Source organism: Homo sapiens, chromosome 4, assembly GCF_000001405.40.
Source record: "Homo sapiens chromosome 4, GRCh38.p14 Primary Assembly".
Classification (NCBI taxonomy): domain Eukaryota; kingdom Metazoa; phylum Chordata; class Mammalia; order Primates; family Hominidae; genus Homo; species Homo sapiens.
Window position 1 is genome coordinate 76975830 of NC_000004.12, and position 19728 is coordinate 76995557.

Genomic DNA, 19728 nt, shown 5'->3' on the forward strand with positions numbered 1-19728 from the left:
GGAGTTCTGAATTTCCTACAGATAACTTGGAGAAGGAAGTAAGCACTTTTGTTATTTTGAAGTTAGTGACTGTGTCCTGATAGTAGTGTATAAGGTAACACTATAAAGAAAAACAAGAAAAGAGTTTAAGGCAAATTCAGGATAGTGTTTACCTCCAGTACAGAGGGAGAGTGATGCCATCTCACAGGATACCATGGGGCTTCAAAGCTTTTGTTAATGTGTTGTTTTTTGGGCTGGGTGTTGGGTATGTGAGTGTTTGTTCTATTTTCTTTACATGGTAAGGACATGTTGTAAAAGATTATGAGGTATCTACTTATATACTTAAAGAAACCTCTGGTTTTTAGTACTTGAGGAAACAGTAAATACTGTATTTTGTATTCAACATTTTCTGCTTTTTTTTGGCTTGTATCTCTTGCATCTTTCTAGGACCAGTTTTTTAAAATACCCCTTTTGATACCTGGCTCACCCATCAGAATTATTTTTCACTTCCTATACTTGTGTTAACATAAGATCCAAGGCTTGTGATTCCCTAATTGCTGCATGAATACACAGAACTGGAGACTTGCAAGCTCAACTTTGGGACTAGAGTGATGAGATTTCTTGGTGTCTGAATGTTTGACTGTCAGACGACAATGGCTTTCAACCGTTCTAAGCCTTCTATGTCACATTGATCCTGGCCCTCAAAGACTCGTTGGTTGTTCTCCTTTCCACTAGATAATAGGCTGATTTTGTGGTATCTAAACAATCATAAAGTTGCACTTCTTGGAAAGGGTAACCCGCTATTTGACTTATGTTGGGAGCCATCCCACTCTGTAGTATCTTCTTGCTTGGCGTCAGCATTTTAGACTTTTGTTTTGATGACCCAATACCTCTAGTGAGGTTTTATTTGAAGTCTGATACCCACTCTGACATAGGCTCTGGCAGCCTTTAATCTTTTATCCCATTGCAAATGTTAGAATCCCGTAATTTAACAACTAGAGTTTATGTACCTTTCCTCAATGACCCTTCTCCACCCATCTATGTTACAGATGATGATACTGAAAACCAGAGAAGTGGTGGTCCCTGTCACTTATAGCCAACCTAGCTGAAATAGGATTGGAAGCCCTGATGGATGTTTAGCTATGGAATATAATGGTTAAAGTAGTTTTTATGTTTTTTTCCTTATTTGCCTTAAGGTAGATAAGCCCAGCTACACAATATAACATGGAATGAGGTAGAGAAAGAAGAGTATAGTGTTCTAAAGAAAGCATTTTTGGTGGGAGAGAAATTTAAACCATAGTAAAAAGCTCAAGAGAGAGAGAATATGGCAGTAAATAATATGTGACTTTGAATTTTTTAAAGTTTGATTTTAGAATGCTCTCCCCTTTGTTACACTTACAAAAATATTACTGCTTAAGTAGATGATATCTGAACATGGTTTCCAAGGGCCTGAGTAAACTATTTGTAATTACCTCATGGATTGTTAGGAAATCAACAAAACAGGTATTTTATGTTGCTGCCATGGTGGCTAGTGGTTGAACATTTGTTCCAAATTGCAAGTTGCAGAGAAGTGCATGTAAAGGAATGTGAGTGTAATTAAAATGCCTTCAGAAATGGGGGTCTAAGTAAATATTGTATTTATTAAGTGAAACAGCACAAGTGAAATTACCAACTAATGCCTAGCTCAGGGTAGGCTTTAGAATAATGAATATTAGTTTTCCTGAGAGTAAAAGTATTGCTAGTTTTTAAAGACTTATTTTTAAATATAAGCTCAGAAGTGGATAATGGAGTTTCATCAGTAAATCAATATTTTTTTTCATTAGTCTAATTTTAATACCAGGTAATGAGCATTTTTAGCCTTTCTAAAAAGGATGAAGGAGTGAGTCTGGGGATGTCCTCTTATCCCAAAAGGTTCGTCTTTTTTTTTTTTTTTTAGGATGATTAAGTTGATAAAATGGCTTACCAGTTCCTTGCACATACTAGGTAGAGATACAGAAAATATTTCTTCTCTAGCCCATACTACCGAAAGGTTATTTGTTTGTTTGTTTTTGGTAATACAAGCATATGTGTGTTTGCTCCTCAGTAGTCTATAAGAAGCTAAGGAGGAAGTGGTGGGAATATCTGATATGTTAGTCATGTGGTTTTAATCAGTCAGGACTGCTAACTGCATCCTTTCTTGTTTTTCTTTGCAACTTCTATGTAAGCTTTGGTTGATTTTTCTCTGCAACTAATTCTTACAGCTTTGCCAGAGAAAAGTAAGAAAGGAGACTTGATAATCCTTGCTCTTAGAAGAGTGTGAGAGAGAGTAAGAGTGATTGCTGTAGGCTGCCTAACCTTAATCTGTACTCTCTGGGTTAGACTTACTCTGCTTCTTTTCTGTGAGAAATATAAGAAATCCACTCCAGCAGCTGGTGGTGGAGGTCTCTTCTTGGATTCTTCCTTCTCTTGTTTCCTGCTGTTCCCACTTCCCGTAGCTCCCACGTTGCTTTCCTTGTGTGCTCTTACTTGGTGGAATAGGGCCTGTGCACCATGACAACCTACCTCTCCAGCGATTTCTCACCTTGGAAGTTGGTGACTTCTGTAGTGTGATGTGCTTGGGTGGGCCACGCATGTCCCTTGATGGCCAACACACACATCACTCTCTGGTTTATAAAAGGTTGACCAGAGGTAACTTTTCTAGACTCCCAGGCTCTACTAATGTAGTGGCCTGGGCTTTGGAGGAAGCCTGCTTGGCTTTGACTCCTGGCCCTACCACTTACTTGCTGCACAACCCTGAGCAGCTTAATCTCTTAGAGCTTCACTGACCTCCACCGTAAAATGGGAATAATAACGGTGCACACCTCAGAGGCGATTGTGAGAAGTAAATGAGACCTATGTAAAATACTCAGCATAATGCCTGCCATATATGTATAAAATAAGAGCTTTATACTTGTGAACTTTAGCAGAATAGTTTATTTCCTGAGAGCAAACACCCCTACAACGTTTGACCTCTTCACTACCGTGTCTCTCCCTCCCTGCAGTTGATTGTGACTAAGTGTTGGGAAGGGTTCATACTGAAGCATGTGGCTGGAGTATTGACATCCCTTTTCTCCATTTTCCAAGGGCCCTCTTAAACTTCACTTCCTCCATCAAACATACCATGGGCATTTCAGCCCATAGTGAATGCTCCCTCCCATGAATTCTCTATCACTGCACTGCTGCTCCATGGCTGTTGTTTTTGGTTGGGGAAGTCAGGTTGTATAGACTTTGTGAGAAATAAGTTGCTGCATTCATTCATCCTAAACATATGGCCCTGGCTACTTGTGATGTCATGGTACATACAGTTCAAAGTAAGATGAATAAGACAGGGTTCCTGTCCTCAAAAAATGTACATTCTTTTGGGGGCCTGACCAAGTGAGAAACTAAGTGTACTGCTAGATGCAAGATGTGACCAAGGACCCAAATAGAGTGGACCTTTATAAAATAAGAAGCAATGGTGTCTAATTCAAGGAACCAGGGAAGGCTTAGTGAAGAAAGTGGCATTTTGCCTGGAATTTTGAGGATGAGTAGGATTTGACAAGTGGAGTTGAAGGTGGAGGCATGCTCTGTGCAGAGGTCGGTATGCTTTGAAAAGAGTCAGTTGTCCAGTTTAGTGTATGGGCGGTGGTGGACTTAGAATCTGGCAAAACTGGTTTGAATGCTGGTTCTGCCATGAATTGAACTTTAGTTTCCTTCTCTGTAAAATGGAGCCAATAGTATCTACTTCACAAGTTATAAGGATTAAATGGGAAGGTTTTTAAAAGGGCAAACAAAGGGCCAGGCATGGTGGCTCACATCTGTAATCCCAGCACTTTGGGAGGTCAAGGCAGGCGGATCACCTGAGGTCAGGAGTTCAAGAACAGCCTGGCCAACATGATGAAACCCCGTCTCTACTAAAAAATACAAAAATTAGCCGAGCGTGCTGGTGGGCGCCTGTAATCCCAGCTAGTTGGGATGCTGAGGCTGGAGAATTGCTTAAACCAGGGAGAAAGAGGTTGCAGTGAGCCGAGAAACTCCATGTCAAAAAAAAAAAAAAGTGGGGGCAAACAAGCACCCAATAAACATTATTTTCCTGATGGCTGGAGTGGAAGGAGGGACATATTGAGAAGCTTGAAGGGTAGACCAAGCATCAAGCATGGTGACCTTTGAATGCCTTGTTTGTTTTTGCTAAACCATACTTAGTATTGTGGTCTTTTCATAAATGTTTGATAAAATTGTTTTTTGATTGATTGATCTAGGGAAATGGCAGACCCCTCTTTTTTTGTTCTGTGGATAAGAAAGTGGTAGAGCCTGTTGCCTTTTTTCCTTCTCTGGGTATTTTAACCTTCATCATATAGGTACTCCCAGCAACTTTAAACTGATACTTTGAAAAGATAGTGATCTACTTTTCCACCTTGATCCCAGAATATGAGGTGAAGTATGAGGTACATTTATTGGTGCTCTGTTCTCCATGGGGACTAAAGCTTCACAAGTTTGTCTGTCCAAACACATCAGGTTTTACAGTGATTGTTTCTTGGGTGTTCATGCATGTGACTTGTGGCTGTCACACTGTCTTCTGAATTATTAATATCCGGGCTAAAGGGTGGATAGGAAGTGGAACTGAGAAGGAATCGTGGGGAATTGCTGCCAAGCCTTGTTTCCTTATATCGGTGGCTGCAGCTGCCACATTGCGCTAAACCCACTCCCGGTAATAAGCAACCTAAGTGTGTACATTTGGTGCAGTTGTGGCAAAAGAGGCTTAACTCTGTGTAGCCATGATTACAGTGAGATACGTGGTCTGACCCTCTCTATGTGGGAAGGGATTTGAGGCTTGGATTTTTCTCAAATTCAAATGGGAAAGTAGTTCTTGTTTTTGCCAGTGTAATCATCACTTATTTCCCTTAGCTTGCCATTCATTTTATCTATGTGAGTAATAATTATTCAAATGGACCATTAGGCTTTGGGAGTGTTTAATGGCAGCCACCTGGATCAGTGCCTAAGATTTTTGCTAATTCTGGTTTGTCTTTCACCCTGAGTCTCATTTAACTTCAGTTTTTCCTTCCTACAGATCGTATGGATTACAGCAAGGATCTCTTGCCAAGCTATAATCTTTCAAGTTTTGATTTTAGCTTAATGCTTCCCTGTAATCATGCTATCAAGACTGTCAGAAACATATTCCCATTCACATATCCCATACTCTTAATCTATCAATCTAGGACCATTGATGTGGAATTGGACCCGATCTTGCTGAGAAGTCTGGGCTGCTGACCCAAACCTTTTGTGCTTTGTGGTAACAACATGAGTAAAAATGTAACCTGTGCTCTTGCACATATTTTATCATCTCTTTTTGAGAGCTGATGGGATTTATAACGGATTGTTGTATGCAGTTGCATTTTCCCTGTGTTCTACTTGGGCCCTACTTGATTATTCAGACATATCAACATGATGATAATGATAAAGAAAATGGCTCTTTAAGAGACATTTTTAGTGGACAATGGAGGGGGTGGAGAGGACTGTGGGAACATTCTTGTGAGCTGCAGCATGTGAAAAGGTTTGTTTTGCATTAACTGATCAAGACAAGAAAGCCAGCATATAAAATCTTCTATCAATAGGAGAACTTTGAGAAAAGAGGAAAATTGTAATACAGCCTCTTGGGTCTGCTTTCCTAAGCACAACAGTATGTGTGAGAAAAACTCTAAACCAACTTTCTCTTACACCTAGGTGGATGCTTCTACAATGTGCAGTTAACTTTCTGTAAGGCAGAAAGTTGTCTCTGCTAGTGGGAGTATTTATTGATTTATTAGGGGTTATTTGGTCCTATTTTTTGAGAAGGAGAACAGAGTAAGGAAGGAGTAAGAAAGCTTTAGCTTGATTAGAATGGCTGAACTTGTAGCGGTAACAAATAGAGTCTGTTTATTAGCTTCTCTGCAAGATATGCATTTTTTTTTTTTTTCATGCTCTGCAGAAGTTTGCATCAAATAGCTTACCATTTGGATGGTTGCCCCAGCTGGTAATCTGGGTTAAAACCTTGACTGAGGCAATTCTATACTCATGATCCCTTGGTGTGCTGGTCTGGTGGGAAGATATGTTTGTAAGTACACTAGGGAGTGGGAAACAGAAAAGTCTTTCATGACGTGGCTGCTCAGTGATTGTTTCTAGATCTCTCCCCCAAGTGACACTCGAATACTTAGTAGCACATCCTGGGCATAATGCTCCCCATTTAAGGACTATTTCCAGTAAACTGAAAAAGAATCAGTTTTAAAGTCTTACATCCTCTACTCTTAGTTTTCCTAGTTCATTGATTTCCCTGCCCTTTGGGCCTCTTTCCTTTTCCTGCTGCCTTCCTTGATAGATTCTACCTCTTTCTTTCCATCCATCTCCATTCCCTTTCTGCAACTATTCAAATCTTTTTTTTTTTTTTGATTGAGATGGAGTCTTGCTGTTGCCCAGACTGGAGTGCAGTGGTGTGATCTTGGCTCATTGTAACCTCCGCCTCCTGGGTTGAAGCGATTCTCCCACCTCAGCCTCCTTAGTAGCTGGGATTACAGGCGGGTGCCACCATGCCTGGCTAATTTTTGTATTTTTAGTAGATACGGGGTTTCACCATGTTGGCCAGGCTGGTGTCAAACTCCTGGCCTCTAGTGATTGCCTGCCTCAGCCTCCCAAAGTGTTGGGATTACAGGCATAAGCCACCACCCCCGGCCCAGATCTTATTTCATCTTACCATAACCTAGGGCAAAACTGACCTGCTTTAAGAGAGTTTTACATTTTTGCTCTGGTCCACATTCATCTCCATTGTCTAACCCTGTAATCTTTGTAGTATATTTCATCATGAAACATTTCAAAATCATCTTCCATTTTACCTCAATAACTTATCTCCCTAATAAGACTCAAATTCCTTAAGAATCTTTTGTATTTCCTAGAATTCTTGTTACAAACACAACACCTAAACATTTGCAGTTTACTTTCATTTTTGGAAGGCTTCCTCCAAAGGCTAGCTAGTTTGTGGTTAGCTGCCCTTATCAGATTCAGTGTAAAAGGTTTGCCTTGGTAGCCTGAGAGGGATCTAGTTTACCATGCTTTTACTAATATCTATCTTTTTTCTCCTGGAGACAGTTGTGTGTTTTTTTTGTTGTTTTTTGTTTTTGTTTTTTTTTTAGCTGGGGAAATGCCAATATTCATTATTATATCTTATCCTAAAGTTACACAGGAGAAATAGGGATGTTGAAATAATGTATACTTTGGTAGGCAGAATCCGAAAATGGCCCCAAGATCCCAGCCCCCTGGTGTACACGCTCTGCATAATCCCCAGAACTTGTGAATATCACTCCCACAGGTAGGTTATGGCACAGCTGTCGTTTAGAAATGGAGATTGACCTGGGTGGACCTTACCTCATTAAGCAGTCCCTTAAAAGGGACCAGACTGTTCCTGAAGAAGGATATTTGACATGTGAGAGGGACACAGGGAGATTTTTCATTGCTGACTTTGAAGACAGAGGTGACCTCGTGGCTTGGAACCGTCAGTGACTTTTTGGAGCTGAGTGCAGCCTCTGACAGCGAGTAAGGAGAGAAGGCCCTCAGTCCTACAGCTGCAAGGAATTGAGTCTGCCCACATCTGGAATGAGCTTGGAAGAGGGTATTTCCCCAGAGCCTTGAGAGGACAACCTCCTTAGCTTGGCCCACACTTTGATTTCAGCCGTGTGATAACCCAGGCAGAAAGTCCAGCTACACCATGCCCAAAGTTGTGACCTATGAAACTGACTGCTAATAAATGGATGTTGTTTCAAGCCACTAAATTTGTGATAATTTGTTATATGGCAGTAGAAAACTAGCACATGCCCCACATTTATGTAAACAACCCCTATTCCATCCTGATATTGTTTTATCCAGGGTTGAGATTAAGACACAGTAGAACTCTTAGAGGCCAGGTGTGGTGGCTCATGCCCGTAATCCCAGCACTTTGGGAGGCCGAGGCAGGCAGATCACAAGGTCAGGAGTTCAAAACCAGCCTGGCCAACGTGGTGAAACCCCGTGTCTACTAAAAATACAAAAATTAGCTGGGCGTGGTGGCAGGTGCCTGTAATCCCAGCTACTCGGAAGCTGAGGCAGGAGAATTGCTTGAACCCTGGAGGCGGAGGTTGCATTGAGCCGAGATCGCGCTATTGCACTCCAGCCTAGGCGACAGAGCAAGACTCCATTTCAGGGAAAAAAAGAAAAGAAAAAAAGAACTCTTAGGAAGACTTGAGGATTTTGGCCATAATTGTTTAGTAATATTTGTAGAGCAAGACCAGATGTTAATTGGTATGTTTATTTCCTCAATATGTATCATGGTTTTGGTCATTTCTGGTATAATTCCTCAATTTTCAGGTGCTGGAAATGTGTCACTGGACTCAGATGTTCTAGGTCAGCCTGGATTAGGAACTGAACATGCCTTGGGAGGAGAAAGCAGCCAGGTTGTGACTAGGGGAAACAGCCCTGGTGCTTTTGTTCATGACTTGCTTGGAACTGGATTGGATTTTTTTTTTTTCTTCTCTCACAGAGACTGCCATCACATGGCCATTACTGTAACTGAAAATCCCCTGCCTTTTCAGAAAGGCACAGAAATATATGGTATCTTTCAGAAAGGAAGTGGCTAATTTATATCCGGTGATAGAAATGGTGGCATCGGGAAGGAAGCGTCCCATCCATATTTCATTATTTGCTGATGAATGCATTCAGTGAATAGAAATAGATGAACTGAGCCACAATATTTCTCAAACAGGAAATACTGAGGAATAGATGTGTGAATATGAGTAGCACAGGACATAAAAAGTTGAGGAAAAAACTTCCAACTGCTTTGAGCCTCTTAATTCTATTTGACCTCCTATTCGTCACTGTTTTGAAGATATTCCATAGGATAAAGACAGGGCAGGAGGGACAAAAATGACCCAAATAAACAACAGTGAGACAAGTGGGTGGTTTTATGCTCTGCAAGAGACGTGATATGTCTTAAATGGAACTGGGTTGTTTGGGACCCACTGGACAGCAAGAGGGTTTTGAAATGGTTTATGACCTCTTCCCCACTTCCCCGCTTGCTTTGCTCATTAGTGTTCCTAGGTGGCTGCTGGGTGACGGGCTTTTCATCATCTCTGATGTGGGCCAGTGCGAAAGAGCAGCTGCAACATCTGTTTCTAATTGGGTCGTGCCTTTATAAATACTTCTTGCCTATTTGTCACATTGCTTCCCTCCCACCCTGTCTTCCTTGGAGTACTGCAGAATCTGTAAGCGTCCCTGGAATGCACACGTGGACCTTGTCATTCCCAAACAGACTTTCTGCTGGTCAGCACTTTGTAATGTTCGGCTGTTACAGGCATTAGTCACTTGTGCTCAGAGAGAGACTGTGGTCTTTGGAAACTGAAGAAAATGTCTTTTTTGTTGTTGTTAATTCTTGGCATCCAGTTAGATTTAACTTCTCAAGAGTTTACACAGACTTTTAGAAAAACATTCTGTCTCTAAGAAAAAAGTGCTCTAGCTTTGTACAGTTTTTGGATTTTCACACTTGGTGGTTGTTTGCTGAAATGCTGTTTTGCTAGTGATTCCCCTCCTCCCCCTATCTGGGGTTGTAAGCAGCTCTGGGGCTCTGTTCACTTCGGATACCTGTTTCTGGGGACTGCTTTTCAACAGCGTTTTTCCTAAGGGCATATGAGAAATTTAATTTCTGATGGAATGAAGGTGAAACTCTAGTCCCAGGTAAACCTGGGTAGGCTGTAGAGACAGAAAGGGGGCTGCAGGTCTAGGTGGAAGAACGAGAACGAATGCAGCATGGTATTTCCAGGCCTTTTAGATTCGGCTTCATCCACAACCAATGTGAGTTCTTATCTGCAAAGCGGGCCTAAGTGTAATGGAGGGAAGGTGGGCCAGGCACCAGGGTCCTGGGTTCTCCCGCGCCTCACTCTGTCTCCACCTGGCCCATGCATAAAGAACACTAGTCAAGTAGCCATTGTACCTGTTTCCTTATCTGAAAATGAGAAGGTTGGAGAGTATGACTTCTGTTGAAACAACAAGGCGCTTACAAATTTTGGTGAAGTCGAATGAGGGCAGCGTTAAGAGAAATATCAAAGTTAGTCATTGGATTTCAGGGCTTAGGGATGGAAACCAGCTGGTAGTAGACTGGTTGTAGTTATGTCCAAAGGGCAGAGTGGGAAAAATTTGGCCGAAAAGAGTGTGGTGGGTGACCAGCAAATGTTAGAGGTATACATCAGGGCACAGAGGAGAAAAGCTAACATGATACTGATGACTTCAAGTCTTCACTGTCCAATTCAGAGGATAGGGGAGGGTTTAAGCTGATTAAACAGTGGGCTTTTTTTCTCCTGCAAGAGGGTGGAGGTCTATAACTGTGCAGATTTTATCAGATGCATGCTAATACATGTTATTCTGGGGGACTCTCTTATACCTTGAAGTAGACATTGCTGCTATTTGGCGTGAAAAAAATAGGAGGACTTATTTGAATTGAGAATGGGGATAGGCTGAGTTCCACCGAGATGTTGGCTTAGAGATGCCTGGGCCATGCTGTACAGTAGGAAGCCCAGCAGAGGAGATTGGGCTGTGTGGGTCATGACAAAGGGAGTTGTTAGCTTATGGTTGGCTATTAAAGTCATGGGCAAGGATGGGCAAGAAAAGTGTGTAAAATGAGCTGACAAAAGATAAATATGTTAATTAATTCTTTACAACAGCCCTGTGAGAGAATGTGTCTTAAAGCTGACAAAACTGAGGCAAAGTTAAATACCCTAGGTCACACAGCTAAACTATGAAAGAGGTGCTCTTGTCTTGACTTCACATGTTGGGCACCTTCCACTACACTTTTCCACTTTTCCGATTCCTCCTGTCACTTTCAACATGACTTGGTTCTACTATTAGAAAAATTAAGTTCTCCTATTTTACTCTGTTAACCTACCTATTAGCTACAATAAATATTGTGGGCTTACCTCCTCAAAAAAGATCTTTATTTAGTATTATTGTTATTGATGTTCCTGGATTTTAAAAATCTTATATATTTTCTATTATAAAACTACAGCTTTTTTTTCTTTTGTAATAATTCAAATGTTACAGAAACAAAACAATTAAAAGGTAACATTTCCCGAAAATCTTACCAGCCCCAAAGAAAACCCCCACACGGCATTAATTTTGTAAGGATCTGGAAAAGCAAAATGTGTTCCTCTACTGGGAGTCTTCTGGAGAAAGTTACTTGGAGATAGCACTTGGAATTGGGACAATTATTCAGTATTAATCAAGTGCTTTTTTGGTTATATGATATGTTTTCCAGAGTGGCTCCCTGGGTTTGGCATTCTGAGCTTATCTACCTGGCTTTGTGACCTAGGGGCTGGCTCCTGGATGCTCCTCCTTAGTCTCAGCTTCCAGCTGGGCCGCACTGAGAAGTTGTTCTTTCCTTGTATTACCATATGGTTTTTCTCTTAACAGTTCCTCACTGCCGCCTGGCGCTCTCTGTTCTGCTGCTTGTGTGAGACAATTTCCTTGGGGGTTTTCTTGGCTCTAGGCATGGGATTTCATGGTATAGATGACAAGCAGAGTAGCAAATGTTGTTCAAATCATCTTTAAAGAATGCAATTCTCATTGGTAATGAGATGGTCCAGACATTTTATATTATGAAAGTTACCCCAGCAATGCTTAGCTTTGAAAGCATCCCGATGCTGGCTTCATAGCTGTGGTTTGGGTCAAAACTTTGCATTCCAGTGTTTTCCCTTTTGCATGAGAACTAAGGGCGTTTCCCATCTTCCCATTAACCTTCTTTTTTTAAAAGAGAATGTGAAACCAATTCAATACTTTCTAGAATGCAGTCAGATAAGAGTGTGTATCTACAGAAATGATTAATCAGGGTACTTAAATAAAACTTACTTTGCGGACAGTTCGTGAGGCCAGAATTTCTCCAGATACTGGGAGGTGGCTGGTGGTCAGTCAAAGATTTTGTGTGCGAGACAGCATGTTCTTTTCTTTACCTCTCTTCAGCTCAGAGGCGTCTGTACTACTGAAATAGGACCTCAGAAAAAGACATGACCTAAGATGAAGGGGTATGTACTTCTTCTCTTTTCCAAGTGGGTATTCTGTAAGGAGAAAAGACAGAGCTCAAAGGAGTGTACTGTACATGTCTCCTCTGCCCTCTGCTGCCCCATGGTTTCATCTCAGCTCTCTTTAAAATTGGACATCTGTTCCCTTGAAACCTGAGTTCTGATATTTCTACCTTCTCCCATCAGGTACTGCTGCTCAGAAAGACTATTTGTTTTCATCTGAATATGTGAAACCTGCACATCAGCTGTACACAGGGGCCGCCTATTAAATTAATATTCAACAGTGCTTTGGACTAATACATATTTTTACATACTATAGGCTGGTGAATTCACTCAAAGAATGAGTAGTTAATCACATGAGTTATAAGGCTACACAGCATCCTGTCCTTTGGATAGCTTTATGGTTATGTATTTGTGACTATTTGATTGACATCTGTGTGCCCCATTACCCTGTACGCTCCATGAGTTGGGGAGGCTTTGTTTTTTCATCATGGTATCCTTAGCATTTAACACAGTGTTCTACCCACACTGGTACTCGATGAATATTTGCTGAATGAATGAAAGCATGAATAAAGATTTGCTTTTCTTTTTGAGAACAGATAACTAACTTATACAGAGAAGTCATTTCCTAGGTTTTTTGTTTGTTTTTTTATTTTGGAGATAAAGTATATCACTCTGTCACCCAGGCTGGAGTACAGTGGCACAATCCTGGCTCATTGCAGCCTCTAACTCCTGAGCTTAAGCAAGATCCTCCTGCGTCAGCCTCCCAAGTAGCTGGGATTATAGGCATGAGCCATTGCGCCCAGCCCTAGGTTTTGTTTTGAGGATATAAATCCACTTTTCAAAAATCTCGTGGATGACTGGAGATGTAGCCAAACAAAAAGAAATTGCTTTTAAGCAGGGCATTTGTAAACAGTGGGTACATAACTTTCTTAGCTAATTCATATGTATTGTAGTTAAGCAGAAATTAAAAGTTGAGGTGGAAAACACAGAGGTTATGCACACAGATTTCCATTTGGTTTGGAGTTTCCCAGCATAACTGATAGAAACTCCCTTTCATGGGTCAATTAAAACTTGAGCCATCTTGATCTGGCCAGAGCAAATATGCTTCCAGGAATTTTTCACCCTGTGTTGGCTTTCCTTAAGCAAAATGACGGAATTGGATTTATGCATCTCTAACATCCAGATTAAGAAGCCTTAGAATTAGAAAAAACAAAGAACCAGAGACTTTGTTTAGAGGTAATTTGATTAAATCTCCTCACTTTACAGAGGAGGAAACATAAGCCCGAGGATTAAGTGACTTGGATCAGTATACTTTATTTATCCATAATCTGAGGCGTTGAGAAAAATGTAATCACCATGTCTTGTTAATAAAAATCTCCAGCTCTCCACCTGAATACATAAATGTTATCTCTTAAATTTAAAAAAAAATAAATTTTAAAGAGAAAAATCTTTCTAAACTTAAATTGTAATACCTGATTTTAAAGGTAAAAATTAAATATTGCTTTCGAATGGAAACGTAATTTTAATTTGTTTGGATTAAACAATTCAAATATCACCTTGGTAACATGCTGTCTTGCTTCCGCCTGCTGATAAGGATCAGAGGCTACGGCCTATCTAACCACATCTACCGAAACACTTCATTTTTAAAAGTAAAGAAAAGGGATATCACTTCAGTTTAAGTATGGTGAATAAAATCCATCTGGGCACACCGAGCTTGTTAATTTCAGTAGACCCAGGGCTGGATTAAAATACAGTCATGTACTGCTTTACAAACTCTCAGTCAACAATGGACCGCATATACAACCGTGGTTCTGTAAGATTATAAAACTGCACTTTTACTGTACCATTTCTATGTTTAGATATACAAATATTTACCATTGTGTTACAGTTGCCTACAGCATTCAGTACAGTAATATTCTGTACAGGTTTATAGCCAAGGAGCAATAGGCTATCCCATATATCCTAAGTGTCTAGTAGGCTATACCATCTAGGTTTGTGTAAGTGTATCTGGAGTTTGTTCCTGCCGGTTGGTTTGTGGTCTTGCTGACTTCAAGAATGAAGCCGCAGACCTTCATGGTGAGTGTTGCAGCTCTTAAAGGTGGCACGGACCCAAAGAGTGCGCAGCGGCAAGATTTATTGTGAAGAGCAAAAGAACAAAGCTTCCACAGCGTGGAAGGGGACCTGAGCGGGTTGCCGCTGCTGGCTTGGGTGGCCAGCTTTTATTCCCTTATTTGTCCCTGCCATGTTCTGTTTCTGTTGTATCAGAGTGCCCTTTTTTCAATCCTCCCCGCGATTGGCTACTTTTAGACTCCTCCTGATTGGTGCGTTTTACAGAGTGCTGATTGGTGCATTTTACAATCCTTTTGCTACAGAGTACTGATTGGTGTGTTTTTACAGAGCACTGATTGGTGCATTTTATAATCCTCTTGCTAGCTACAGAGTGCTGATTGGTGTGTTTTACAATCCTCTTGTAAGAAAAGTTCTCCAAGTCTCCACTCGACCCAGGAAGGCCAGCTGGCTTCACGTCTCACAAGTACACTCTAGGATGGAGTCCCCAATCCCCAGGCTGCCAACTGAGACCAGTCCGTGGCCTGTCCGGAACTGGGCTGGCCAGCAGGAGGCGAGTGATGGGCTAGTCAGCATTACCGCCTGAGTTCTGCCTCCTTCAGATCAGCTTCAGGCATTAGATTATCATAGGAGCCTGAGCCCTGTTGTGAACTGTGCATGGGAGAGATCTAGGTTGTGCGTTCCTTATGAGAATCTAATGCTTAAAGATCTGAGGTAGAGCGGTTTCATCCCCAAACCAACCCTGTCCGTGGAAAAATGGTCTTCCACAAACTGGTCCCTGGTGCCACAACGGTTGGGGACCACTGCTCTAGAATGTTCACACAAGAACAAAATCACCTACTGGCATGTTTCTCAGAATGTTTCCTCATCACAAAGTGGTGCATGACTGCAGAAGCAAAAGTGATGGGGAATCCAGAATGCTTCCCAGCTGGGGAGGATGTGGATTCTGCTAACTGCTGATTCTGCAAACAGGAATGTGATTTTGTGGCTTTTCCTCCAGCTTTGTAAATGAGTTTTCTCTTTAGGAATGGATTTTCTTCAGGCTAGAATCATCATTCTCGTTTTTTATTTCTTTCTGTTCACTTTATTTTTATTGTGATTTTACCTTATTCATATGTCCGAGAGCCCTGCTGGTCAGCAGCTTCTCCTGGAATGCCTAGCAGCTGTAATAGAACTTCTGATTAATTTCAGATTTTTAAATGATAGTTGCCTCTTCCTCCCAACTACTGTAGGTAAAGGAAGTCCAAGTTTCAGAAGACCTGTTAAGTGCTAGGCACTCTCATCCATACCTCTTTATCTCCTCCCAACAACCCTGCCAAGGAGATATGTATGAGAGAGCCTAGCACCTCTTCCTGTTTTTACTGAGGGCAGAATAGAGACTAAAGCAAGTAGAAAGCAAAGCTGGGATTCAAACCCATGTCTGTCTGACTCTAAGCCTTTTGCTGCCCTTCTCTGGTGAAGCAAGATTTGGAATTGTGGAACATATTTTACAGCAGCGCTCAGAATGTAGGTGGTGGCACACATTCTTACATAATTTGTTTTATAATTATCTCAATAATGAAGTCAGCTGGGAATTTTCTGAAAAACTACCAGTTATACACTTCAGGTATACATTCATAAGAAAGTGACCTTTTGGGCATAGAAACATTTATCCAGAAGGGTTCTGCAAGCTGGGCTTTTGTTTCACTGATAGATTTGGGGAACTTTAGCTTTCCTAAAAGGTACCCCCTGAATTTCCCTAGACAAAAACTACTTCTCCTCCATGCCTTCCCGTAGTTGACGCCATGGTATTGATGACTTTTATCCTTCATAGTCCTACATTTACATCTGTCCTAGCTCTACTACTACATTGTAAAACCTCTTAAGGGTCGGAACTGCAGTGTTCTTCAATGAATTATAAAAATAACTTATTTTAGCTTTCTTAGTGCTTTGAGCAGTGGGTATTTTTGAATGAACAAATAAATAATTGTATCTAAGAGGATATGTTCTAAAAAGAGAAAAGTGAAATTGTCAAGTGAAAAACAAGTTTATTTTATACCATAAAGGTTAGTCATAATCCATTTCAAGATGGAGTGGGCTATAGAAATTACCTAATTACAAATCCTTACTAGGTAGATTAGCAAATGCAGGGCTAAATCAATTAAGGTCTTATAGTTACTTACTTAGTGGTTCTGTGTTGGCACTTTCTTTTCAAAAATGGTTAAAACTAAGCATTATATTATAGGTTTCATGTGCCATCACTACAAAAATCATATTTGGTCTTGGCATTGCCAGGATCAGCGAAAATATACTTGGAGCTACTTTGCCAGTTCTAATTCTCAATTTCCACCTCTTAAGGTTGCCAGAGAATCATGGTTTCAGAGTATTTTTTTCCTTCTATTTTAATGTATTGGATTTTTATAACAGCTGAAATAATTATGCTGTCTGGGGCTACCTGGGAACTTAATATTCAGTTCATGAGATAAATTTCAGTTTCATGAGATAGCAATGACTATGTTCGACAACTCTGGAACCTGACTTCCTGGGTTCCAATTTCAGCACCTTGACTTTACTAGTTGGGAAACCTTGGGCAAGTTACTAAACGGTGCCTCTGTTTTCTCATCTGTAAATTGAGTTTGGGTAACAATGTAACTAATTTATAGAATTATTAAGAGAGAGAAATTAGGGCTTTTCTGGAGCATTGGAAGGGATAAATGTTAGCTGTTATTATCATGATGGAATTCCAAATAGCTTGAGCAGCTTTTCAATCAGTATTTTCCTTTTATTGGTCAGAAGAATGTTTGGTGAAATTTTCCCCAAGATTTCATAATAAAGACAATGATGGAGGTATAATTTTATTGGGATCTGGAAGATTTGGATATGTAAACACTGGCTGTAAGGGCCTTTCACATAGAGGAAATAATGTGAGTAAATTCTGATGGGAAGAAACCTGGGTTTGTCCCAAGAAGAGTGGTCATTTAATTTAACTGCAGTGTAAGGTGCTCCCTGGGGAGAAGTGGGAGGTTCAGTAGGAATGGAGACTTGAGGTTAGCCCATGGGGCCCTGAAATGACAGGCCAAGGAGTTTGGATTGGGGACCTTGAGTACCGAGATCCCCTTGATGGCAAGGTGGAGGGAGGAAGTATTAGAGAGGGTGAGATCAAGTCAGGGAGGCCAGTTGGGAGGCTGTTGAATTAGTAGGAATAGAAATGTGGAGGATGTAGTATTGATAAGACTTCAGAGTTGATGGTGGGAGGGGAGCTGGTCTCAAGCATGGCTAAGTACTGTTAACAGAAATAGGGAACTCTGGAGAAGGGGCGAGTTTGGGATAGAGGAATATGATTTCAGTTTCATGAACATCAAGTTTGAAGTACAGATGGGACAACCCAAGAGAAGTGTTCCTCTGATAGAAATTCAGAACTGGATGCCAAGCAGAGTTCAATATTAGAGATAAATTCAGAGAGTCGTTTCCAGATGTGTTAGTGTTAACGACATGGAATATATGCAGTTCCCTGAAACTGGGCCTGGAGACTCAAAAAAGACCCCTCAATCCTTGGCTTGTGGTAGCTAAGGGAAGAGCTATAAAATGCTGGACTGGAGGGATGCGGTTCAGCTGCTGTGCTGGAGGCACTGGGTAAGGTGCTCAGAGCTGCCCTGTGCATGTCCTCCAGTGCCGTTCTCTCCAGTTTTTAAGCCTGTTCATAAACCAGAGAAGGAACTTCTTTTTCCCTTTCCCCCATCACATACTGATGGGCAGTGACTCTCAGGTTTCCTTTAATACTGGGCAGAGAATTAGGCTCAAATTATGAAATGTAAAAACTGTATTATAAAATTTACATATTCTATATTACAGTGTTAGAAGACAGACTCTAAAGATACAACTTTAAATTTCAAAAATGTCAAGACCAAACTGTTTTATAACCCTTCATTTTGTATGTGGTTTTCAATGGGTATAAAAATACTTAGTGGGTGTGTGGGTGGCTTCTCGTGTTTTGGAAACGGTGAGAATATGAGATGCTGAGCTTTGGGTTCTGGGATGAGAGCTATAATTACTAACTCTGATTCTTTCCCAGGATTGGTTCATAGGTGGATATCTGGTATCTAAAAACCCAGCGATCCAGAATCCAGAGCAATAAACCATTCTCCCCTCCCCCTGAAATTAACAGAATTATGTGGCGGTGGAGAGAGGGAATGTGGGATGATAGTTCTGCCCTGCGTTGTCTCTTTCATACCGTTCACGAACGGTTGAAGTCAGTGATGTAGCAGAAATGAAGGCTGGTGCCATGGCTTCTCCTAGCCTGATACACAACAGCTACTGCACAGCTAGGTGGAAAGAGTTCTAAAAATAACCCAGGACTCATTTCAAACCCTCCTCCCCCAAGTCTTGGCGGATGTGGTAAACACCTTAAAAACACCTGCTGTCTGAACCTTTGAGGTATCTAAAGAGGAAGGGGCAGGTACAAGGATTGGGGCTGGAAGAAGTACAGTATTGTTGGAAGGCTTGCCCAGCTACAAGGACTGCTGCCCACTGGGGCCTGCCCTCGAAGCTGTTTGGTGAGCTGCCTACCATGCCATCCTGGTCAAGGATAAGTGCCTACTCTTGAGTCTCATATTCACTGTTGGCAGGTTTCAAGGAAACTATTCATAGACTAGACATCTGTTGTCTGTCCCATTGACCTCAAATCTGCAGCTGCCACCATGGTATTCAGGCAGTGTGGTGGCTTTTAGTCTTATTTCACAGAATCAGAATTTTAGAGCTGATATGGACTTTAGACATTTTATTATTAATAAAACCATTGAAGTCCTTTAAAATCACTGCATTTCTGGAGTCACATTTCTGTGCCTATATAGTGACCACAAACATTTGAAATGGGGTCTTAGTCCTTGCTTGTTAAAAGAAATCACCCTCTTGATTATGTAACATAAAAATAGGATGATGAAAACCAGTCTTTTGAAAACATTGACTAAGTGATCCTGTACAAAGCTTTTTTTTTTTTTTTTTTTTTTTTTTTTAAATAAAATGGAACATTGAAGCTGGGAGTGGTGGCACATGCCTGTAGTCACAGCTACTTGGGAGGCTGAAGCTGGCTGAGCCCAGGAGTTTGAAGCTGCAGTGAGCTATGATCACACCACTGCACTCCAGCCTGAGTGACAGTGCAACCCTGTCTCTAAAAAAAAAAAAAAATGGCTGGGTGTGGTGGCTCATGCCTGTAATCCCAGCACTTTGGGAGGCCGACGCGGGCAGATCACGAGGTCAGGAGTTCAAGACCAGCCTGGCTAACATGGTGAAACCCTGTCTCTACTAAACATACAAAAATTAGCTGGGCGTGGTGGCGCGTGCCTATAATCCCAGCTACTCGGGAGGCTGAGGCACTAGAATCACTTGAACCTAGGAGGCAGAGGTTGCAGTGAGCTGAGATCGTGCCACTACACTCCAACCTGGCGACAGAGTGAGACTCCATCTCAAAAAATAAATAATAAAAATAAAAATAATAAATAATAAAAATAAAAATGGAGCTTTGAGGATCATTTTCTCACCTGGACTCCAGTATTTTGAATATAAAGTTCATTGACAACACAGCCAGAACACTAGGAGTCCTGTCTCCAAGGAGAAGACTTTCAGTGTCTAATTTCTGAAATTG

The 19728-nt window shown here is 41.2% G+C and overlaps 1 protein-coding gene across 8 annotated transcripts in view, besides 1 other annotated feature; it reads left to right on the forward strand.

The window, feature by feature from the left end:
• Window positions 1–19728, forward strand: part of SEPTIN11 (septin 11) — a 90403-nt gene that overhangs the window by 26078 nt on the left and 44597 nt on the right. The window contains exon 2 of one of the 8 annotated variants that reach the window (NM_001306147.2): window positions 11980–12041. The exons of the other annotated variants lie outside the window; for them this stretch is intronic. The gene's annotated coding sequence lies outside the window, so the exon portion shown is untranslated. The remainder of the gene's footprint in view (window positions 1–11979; window positions 12042–19728) is intronic. 8 annotated transcript variants of the gene reach the window in all.
• Window positions 18582–18731: an enhancer, noted in NCBI's record as "active region_21633". NCBI's record gives its function as "activates an Ori minimal core promoter by ATAC-STARR-seq in GM12878 lymphoblastoid cells {active_cell/tissue: GM12878}" and the evidence as "EXISTENCE:reporter gene assay evidence [ECO:0000049][PMID:35858748]".